This window comes from Homo sapiens, chromosome 16 (genome assembly GCF_000001405.40).
Source record: "Homo sapiens chromosome 16, GRCh38.p14 Primary Assembly".
NCBI classification, from domain to species: Eukaryota; Metazoa; Chordata; class Mammalia; order Primates; family Hominidae; genus Homo; species Homo sapiens.
The window spans coordinates 57,357,371-57,366,189 of NC_000016.10; the positions used below are offsets into that span (position 1 = coordinate 57,357,371).

An 8,819-nucleotide genomic window follows, 5' to 3' on the forward strand; every position below is an offset into this window, starting at 1 on the left:
GGCCAATTTTTGTATTTTTGGTAGAGATGGGGTTTCTCCATGTTGGCCAGGCTGGTCTTGAACTCCTGACCTCAGGTGATCCACCTGCCTGGGCCTTCCAAAGTGCTGGGATTACAGTCATGAATCACTGCACCCAGCCCATGTGTTCTGAGCACCCAACATGTGCCTGATCCTCAGAGGGCCCTGGGAATGCCAAGAAAAATGAAGGGAGACCCCAGCCTCCTAGAGCTTGGAGTCTGACTTCTAGGGAGGGGCTTGAGAAAGAGAAAACCTGACCCAGTCTGCTCAGGGCCACATTCCAGGTCCCCTAGAAGGCTTTGAAGTCCTGAGAGGGTGTGCTTACCAAGGACATGACATTTCAAACAGCTTTGACGCATAAGTAGGAGTTTATGTGGTAGAGATGTGGAAAGTGACATTAAAGGCCAGGGACAGGCCGCAGTCCCTTTTGAGGAAGTGTGAGGAGTGTGGTGTGATCCCTCAGGGGAAGGAGACCAGTGGGGAAAGGCCTGTCCGGAAACGGGGCCTTGAAGGCCACAGACAGGAGCCCGGGACCTGCCTTTAGGTGAATGGGGAGCCACGGCAGGGTTCTGAAGCAGGAGAGAGAGTGTGTAGCTCTGGACCACTCACGCTGGCTGCTGCAGGGTGGGGATGGCATTGAGGAGGCCAGCATCCCAGCCTGAGGTGGAGGTGGCCTGGACTGGGCAGGAACAGTGGGGTTGGAGAGAAGGAGCAGATCTGAGAGAGATTTAGGAAGCAGAATCAACGGGACATGGACATGGTGAGGGACTGAGACAGGAGTGGGGGAGGGAGAGCCCGGCAGCCACTGGGAAGGAAGATCAGGCAGGACAGAAGTGTGGGTAGATGCTTTCCATAAACCGTTGAGAAATCCACGACCTGGCCCAAATGTGGACTTCACGAGAAGCCCCAGATGGGTCAATGGGTCCATAGGCCTCTCCCATTGAAGAGAGACCAGTAATGCCGTCATTAAGGGTACAAGACAGGCCTCAATTCTAGGTGAGGGTTGGTCCACGTTCTCACTTGATTTACAACCAGTGAAGTCAACAGAGCTGTGAAACCATCTCCCCCATTTCCAGATGGGGAAACCAAGTCCCAGAGACACCCAGACATGGCCAAGGCCACACAGTGCAGAGACCCTGGGGAGCACAAGCCTCTAAGAGGGGGATTTTACAAGTCTGTCTGAAACCAGAGGCGAGGACAGAGTTGAGGGGGGGTCCCCTCTGAGTGGTTCCCCGCCAAAGAGAATTTCTCCACTTTGGAGGAAGTGGGAGGTAGTTCTTCTTTTGAGATGTGAATGTCAAGTGACTCTGGGCACCCCGGTGACTAAGAGGTAAGTAAGTGAGGCTTGTGGGTGGAGCCAGCACCTTAAATAGCAGGTCTTCCTATGTCCCTTTGCAGACACCTGGGCTGAGACATACAGGACAGAGCATGGATCGCCTACAGACTGCACTCCTGGTTGTCCTCGTCCTCCTTGCTGTGGCGCTTCAAGCAACTGAGGCAGGTGAGGCTGGGGAGCAGGAAGACCCCCTACAGAGGCCAGGGCAGACGGTGGGGTGTCTTCCTCATGTCTTGGACAAGCACTGGACCAAGAGCAGAAGACCTCAGTCTGCTGTTGGCTCTTGCGGCCTTCGGCTAGTTGCAGTGCTTCTCTGGGCCTCAGTTTACAAGTCTGTTGAATGGGCAGTCTTGAAGACTTGGAGTCTAGGATCTGTCTCACCTGGGTTGGGGGTTGTGGTGGGCATAGCCTCGGGATCTCCTGCCCCAGAAAACTCAAGCATAGGGCCCTAGGGGTGTGGGTGAGGAGCTTCTAAGGGTCAGGTCTGAGTGGGGGAAGGCAGGGCTGGGGCAAGGGGTTCTCCCTTGGAAAGCTGGTGCTGCCCTCCCACCATCCATTTTTTAAAATGTTATTATTATTATTTTTTATTTTATTTTATTTTATTTTTTGAGACACAGTTTCACTCTTGTTGCCCAGGATGGAGTGCAGTGGGGCAATCTTGGCCCACTGCAACCTCTACCTCCCAGGTTCAAGCGATTCTCCTGCCTCAGCCTCCTGAGTAGCTGGGATTACAGGCATGCACCACCACACCTGGCTAATTTTTGTATTTTTAGTGGAGACAGGGTTTCACCATGTTGGCCAGGCTGGTCTCAAACTCCTGACCTCAGATGATCCTCCCACCTCAGCCTCCCAAAGTGCTGGGATTACAGGCATGAGCCACTGCGTCTAGCCTAAATTTATTTTTTATTTCATTTTATTTATTTATTTTTTGAGATGGAGTCTCTGTTGCCCAGGCTGGAGTGCAGTGGCGCAATCTCAGCTCACTGCAACCTCCACCTCTGGAGTTAAAGTGATTCTCCTGCCTCAGCCTCCTGAGTAGCTGGGATTACAGGCACCTGCCACCATGCCCGGCTAATTTTTGTATTTTTAGTAAAGATGGGGTTTCACCATGCTGACCGGTCTTGTCTCGAACTCCTGACCTCAAGTGAAACTCCCATCTTGGCCTCCCTAAGTGTTAGGATTACAGGCGTGAGCCACTGCTCTGGGCTCACTATCCATTTTTGTCCAGAACCTGTCCTCAGCATGGATTCCTGACTCCTCTTCTCCACCCCACTCTATACTTTTGCTGTGTTGGGTGGAGGAGTGAGCACTGGAGTGGGGTCAGGCAGCTATAAACAAGAATTGCTCCCAGCTGCTGGGCTTTCTGAGTGCTTTTCATGCATTAAAGACCCTCTGAAGCTGGTACTGTTATTACCCCTTTGGTCAGAGGAGGAAATTGGGCCTCAGGCTACAGCTGATGCTTAGTTGTTCTGAATCCCCGCTCCTAGAGCTGACTGTCCCAGAGTGTAGACATTGGACCCTAAGTGGCTTCTCAGAAGCTCCAAGGGTAGGGTCTTGGAGGGCTCAGAATCCTCTGGTCACCATCCTTCCACATGAGAACAGAAAAACTGCATCTCTTTCCTGGAGCCTGGAGAGGCCGAGATCAGGGGCTGGGGCCGAGGGTGACCTCTCTGGGCTCCAGCTTGTGAATTCACTGGGGACCCCTCCCCTAGGCCCCTACGGCGCCAACATGGAAGACAGCGTCTGCTGCCGTGATTACGTCCGTTACCGTCTGCCCCTGCGCGTGGTGAAACACTTCTACTGGACCTCAGACTCCTGCCCGAGGCCTGGCGTGGTGTGAGTAGGGAGCTGGGGCCACAGGGCCTTGGTGGGCCTGACGGGTACAGCCTGGGATGGCCCAGGTGCTGGTGGGTGGGACACACCCAGGGATGAGAGGAATGTGGCAGGGCTACCAGATGCCTGCCAGGATGGCTTGGCTGGAAGAGATGGCTCAGTTCAGGCTTGGGTGGACTACAAACAAAAATAATGTGATCGTTTAGCCAATATCCTCAGGCGCTTACTAGGTGCCAGGCAACATGTCAGGTTCTGAGGATGCAGAGCTGAGTGAACAGGGTGCCACCACAGTGTGGGTATGGCAGTAGGTAGTCAGTAGCTGTGGCATCTAGGGTATTTGGGTATAGCAGGTATAGGAGTATACCTAGTGCCACTGAGTCAGCAAAGATGCTCCCAGGTTCTGGGCAAAAATGGATGGTGAACCAGGCGTGGTGGCTCATGCCTGTAATCCCAGCACTTTGGGAGGCCGAGGCAGGCAGATCACTTGAGGTCAGGAGTTCAAGATCAGCCTGGTCAACATGGTGAAACCCCATCTCTACTAAAAATACAAAATTAGCTGAGTGTGATGGTGCGTGCCTGTGGTCCCAGCTACTTGGGAGGCTGAGGCAGGAGAATCATTTGAACCTGGAAGGTGGAGGTTGCAGTGAGCCGAGATCGCTCCACCTCACTCCAGCCTGGGCAACAGAGGGAGACTCTGTCTCAAAAAAAAAAAAAAAAAAAAAATGCTCACACCAGAAGTGTCTTGGATCCTCTCCAGGCTCCCAGAAGTCCAAGGCAGCCCATTTTGACCAGAAGAATAACATTAAGAGCTAAAATTTCCAAGGTGCCTCCCGAGTGCCAGGCACTGTTCTGATCATTACCTGTGTTAACTGGTTTAATTCTCACAACAATCCTACGAGGAAGTTCAACGATTCCCATGGTAGAGATGGAGAAACAGGCTTAGCAAGGGACAGTGACCTGCTCAAGGCTGCCCAGGTTGGAGCCAGAACTCACTCCTGGTTCCTCGTTCAGGGCTTTCTCCTGAGTTTCTTGTTCTCCTTTGCTTCTTTCTCTGGCTTCTTTGCCTCCTTTTCCCTGGCCTGGGGCCTGCACCTGCACCTGGCTGGGTGACAAGTCCTGCCCTCTCTGCGGTAGCCTCTCTGGCTGCTTCTCCAACTGCTCAGAGCCTGCTGCCTACCAAATCTCACACCTGGGGAGGCTGGGTTTGGGGACTCATGACCCACTTTGGGCCTCTATTATCTTCTCATCTTCCTCCTCCTTATTGCTGACACCATCTCTTAGAGGGATCTGCAGGTGAATAATAAAAAAGGCTGAAGCAGGAAGCCCTCCCAGAGTTCTTGTCTCTTTAACTCTGAGCCTCAGTTTCCCCAACAGTATAATGAAGTAATAACCTAAACTTATTTGACTTATTTGTATTTATCAAACACATAGAGAGTGCTTGCTAAGTGCTAGGCTCTGCCGTAAGCACTTTATAAATATGAACTCATTTAATCCTTGAAACAATCCTATGCAGTAGGTGCCATCGTGACCCCCTTTTCACAGGTGAGGAAATGAGCACAAAAAGGTTAGGGGGCCTCTTGAGCATTACAGGGCACAGTAATAGTAAGAGGAAGGTGAAGAGCTCAATGTCTGGCACATAATAGATGCTCAATTGCTGGGCATGTAGTGCTTCTCAGTTACTTGGGAGGCTGAGGCAGGAGGATTTCCTGAGCCCTGGATTTTGAGGCCAGCCTGGAAACTTACTGAGACTCTGTCTTTATTTCATTTTTTTAAATAAAAAAGGCTGAGTGCAGTGGCTTACACCTGTAATCTCAGGACTTTGGGAGGCTGAGTTGGGAGGATCACTTGAGGCCAGGAGTTCAAGACAAGCCTCAATAGAGTGAGACCCTGTCTCTAAAATCAATCAATCAATCAATCAAATCATATGTGATCACTGGATTTTGAGCCAGAAGGGACCCTAGAAAGAATGTGTCTGGAGGCTCAGAGTAGTTAAGTGATATTATAAGACTCTTGGGGATTCTGGCTTGGCGCAGTGGCTCACTCCTATAATCCTAGCCTTTGGGAGGCCGAGACAGGCAGGATCACTTGAGGTCAGAAGTTCAAGAGCAGCCTGGCCAACATGGTGAAAACCTATCTCTACTAAAAATACAAAAATTAGCTGGGTGTTGTGGCGGGCACCTGTAATCCCGGCTACTCGGGAGCCTGAGGCAGGAGGATCGCCTGAACCCAGGAGTTGGAGGTTGCAGTGAGCCAAGATCGTACCACTACACTCCAGCCTGGGTGACAGAGACTCCATCTCAAAAAATAAAAACAAAACAAAACAAAACAAAAACAAAAACAAAACCCAACTCTTGGGGATTCTATTTCATGGCCTGATCTGGAACTCAAGGCTGGGATTCAAGAGCTGAGGGTCCTGGAAGTCCTTGCTGCCTCTTCCTCTTTTTTTTTTTCTTGACACGGGGTCTCATTCTGTTGCCTAGGCTGGAGTACAGTGGAGCAGAGATCTGGGCTCACTGCAGCCTTGACCTCCTGAGTCCAAGCAATCCTCCCACCTCAGCCTCCCAAGTAGCTGAGATCACAGGCAGATGTCACCATGCCTGGCTGACTTGTACGTTTTTGTAGAGACAGGGTTTTGCCATGTTGCCCAGGATGGCCTTAAACCCCTAGGCTCAAACAATCCTCCTGCCTCGGCCTCCCAAAGTGCTGGGATTACAGGCGTGAACTCCTGGCCTCCTCTTCCTCCTGAGAAATATTCTTTTCACACCACAGGTGGCTTGTAAATTTTGAACCACTCTATTTAGCAGATAATGTCATATGTAGTAGGTGACTCATAAATGCTGAGCCCTGCATAAAGTAGGTGGCTCATAAATGCTAAGCTCCCGAGGGTGTGGCATCCTTGCTGCGTGCTAATGTTGCTGCATTGTCTCTGGGGTCTCCTTCTTCCAGGTTGCTAACCTTCAGGGATAAGGAGATCTGTGCCGATCCCAGAGTGCCCTGGGTGAAGATGATTCTCAATAAGCTGAGCCAATGAAGAGCCTACTCTGATGACCGTGGCCTTGGCTCCTCCAGGAAGGCTCAGGAGCCCTACCTCCCTGCCATTATAGCTGCTCCCCGCCAGAAGCCTGTGCCAACTCTCTGCATTCCCTGATCTCCATCCCTGTGGCTGTCACCCTTGGTCACCTCCGTGCTGTCACTGCCATCTCCCCCCTGACCCCTCTAACCCATCCTCTGCCTCCCTCCCTGCAGTCAGAGGGTCCTGTTCCCATCAGCGATTCCCCTGCTTAAACCCTTCCATGACTCCCCACTGCCCTAAGCTGAGGTCAGTCTCCCAAGCCTGGCATGTGGCCCTCTGGATCTGGGTTCCATCTCTGTCTCCAGCCTGCCCACTTCCCTTCATGAATGTTGGGTTCTAGCTCCCTGTTCTCCAAACCCATACTACACATCCCACTTCTGGGTCTTTGCCTGGGATGTTGCTGACACCCAGAAAGTCCCACCACCTGCACATGTGTAGCCCCACCAGCCCTCCAAGGCATTGCTCGCCCAAGCAGCTGGTAATTCCATTTCATGTATTAGATGTCCCCTGGCCCTCTGTCCCCTCTTAATAACCCTAGTCACAGTCTCCGCAGATTCTTGGGATTTGGGGGTTTTCTCCCCCACCTCTCCACTAGTTGGACCAAGGTTTCTAGCTAAGTTACTCTAGTCTCCAAGCCTCTAGCATAGAGCACTGCAGACAGGCCCTGGCTCAGAATCAGAGCCCAGAAAGTGGCTGCAGACAAAATCAATAAAACTAATGTCCCTCCCCTCTCCCTGCCAAAAGGCAGTTACATATCAATACAGAGACTCAAGGTCACTAGAAATGGGCCAGCTGGGTCAATGTGAAGCCCCAAATTTGCCCAGATTCACCTTTCTTCCCCCACTCCCTTTTTTTTTTTTTTTTTGAGATGGAGTTTCGCTCTTGTCACCCACGCTGGAGTGCAATGGTGTGGTCTTGGCTTATTGAAGCCTCTGCCTCCTGGGTTCAAGTGATTCTCTTGCCTCAGCCTCCTGAGTAGCTGGGATTACAGGTTCCTGCTACCACGCCCAGCTAATTTTTGTATTTTTAGTAGAGACGAGGCTTCACCATGTTGGCCAGGCTGGTCTCGAACTCCTGTCCTCAGGTAATCCGCCCACCTCAGCCTCCCAAAGTGCTGGGATTACAGGCGTGAGCCACAGTGCCTGGCCTCTTCCCTCTCCCCACCCCCCCCCCAACTTTTTTTTTTTTTTATGGCAGGGTCTCACTCTGTCGCCCAGGCTGGAGTGCAGTGGCGTGATCTCGGCTCACTACAACCTCGACCTCCTGGGTTCAAGCGATTCTCCCACCCCAGCCTCCCAAGTAGCTGGGATTACAGGTGTGTGCCACTACGGCTGGCTAATTTTTGTATTTTTAGTAGAGACAGGTTTCACCATATTGGCCAGGCTGGTCTTGAACTCCTGACCTCAAGTGATCCACCTTCCTTGTGCTCCCAAAGTGCTGAGATTACAGGCGTGAGCTATCACACCCAGCCTCCCCCTTTTTTTCCTAATAGGAGACTCCTGTACCTTTCTTCGTTTTACCTATGTGTCGTGTCTGCTTACATTTCCTTCTCCCCTCAGGCTTTTTTTGGGTGGTCCTCCAACCTCCAATACCCAGGCCTGGCCTCTTCAGAGTACCCCCCATTCCACTTTCCCTGCCTCCTTCCTTAAATAGCTGACAATCAAATTCATGCTATGGTGTGAAAGACTACCTTTGACTTGGTATTATAAGCTGGAGTTATATATGTATTTGAAAACAGAGTAAATACTTAAGAGGCCAAATAGATGAATGGAAGAATTTTAGGAACTGTGAGAGGGGGACAAGGTGGAGCTTTCCTGGCCCTGGGAGGAAGCTGGCTGTGGTAGCGTAGCGCTCTCTCTCTCTGTCTGTGGCAGGAGGCAAAGAGTAGGGTGTAATTGAGTGAAGGAATCCTGGGTAGAGACCATTCTCAGGTGGTTGGGCCAGGCTAAAGACTGGGATTTGGGTCTATCTATGCCTTTCTGGCTGATTTTTGTAGAGACGGGGTTTTGCCATGTTACCCAGGCTGGTCTCAAACTCCTGGGCTCAAGCGATCCTCCTGGCTCAGCCTCCCAAAGTGCTGGGATTACAGGCGTGAGTCACTGCGCCTGGCTTCCTCTTCCTCTTGAGAAATATTCTTTTCATACAGCAAGTATGGGACAGCAGTGTCCCAGGTAAAGGACATAAATGTTACAAGTGTCTGGTCCTTTCTGAGGGAGGCTGGTGCCGCTCTGCAGGGTATTTGAACCTGTGGAATTGGAGGAGGCCATTTCACTCCCTGAACCCAGCCTGACAAATCACAGTGAGAATGTTCACCTTATAGGCTTGCTGTGGGGCTCAGGTTGAAAGTGTGGGGAGTGACACTGCCTAGGCATCCAGCTCAGTGTCATCCAGGGCCTGTGTCCCTCCCGAACCCAGGGTCAACCTGCCTACCACAGGCACTAGAAGGACGAATCTGCCTACTGCCCATGAACGGGGCCCTCAAGCGTCCTGGGATCTCCTTCTCCCTCCTGTCCTGTCCTTGCCCCTCAGGACTGCTGGAAAATAAATCCTTTAAAATAG

The 8,819-nt window shown here is 51.6% G+C and overlaps 1 protein-coding gene across 3 annotated transcripts, besides 1 other annotated feature; it reads left to right on the forward strand.

The window, feature by feature from the left end:
* The first annotated feature begins 538 nt into the window (after positions 1-538).
* Positions 539-8,819, forward strand: CCL22 (C-C motif chemokine ligand 22). 3 transcript variants are annotated; one of them, XM_047434450.1, is made up of 4 exons: positions 539-562; positions 1,417-1,519; positions 3,067-3,190; positions 6,134-8,819. In XM_047434450.1, exons 2-4 carry the CDS (start codon positions 1,447-1,449, stop codon positions 6,216-6,218), a joined length of 282 nt encoding a protein of 93 aa, XP_047290406.1. In that variant the 5' UTR covers positions 539-562; positions 1,417-1,446; the 3' UTR covers positions 6,219-8,819. The 3 variants fall into 3 exon arrangements, with proteins under 3 accessions (XP_047290406.1, XP_047290405.1, NP_002981.2); XM_047434449.1 differs by having other exon boundaries at positions 555-778; NM_002990.5 differs by lacking the exon at positions 539-562 and having other exon boundaries at positions 1,413-1,519.
* Positions 5,375-5,556: a silencer, noted in NCBI's record as "fragment chr16:57396657-57396838 (GRCh37/hg19 assembly coordinates)". NCBI's record gives its function as "represses an EF-1alpha promoter that drives an FKBP-Casp9 reporter gene in an ReSE screen in HepG2 liver carcinoma cells and K562 erythroleukemia cells {active_cell/tissue: HepG2 | K562}" and the evidence as "EXISTENCE:reporter gene assay evidence [ECO:0000049][PMID:32094911]".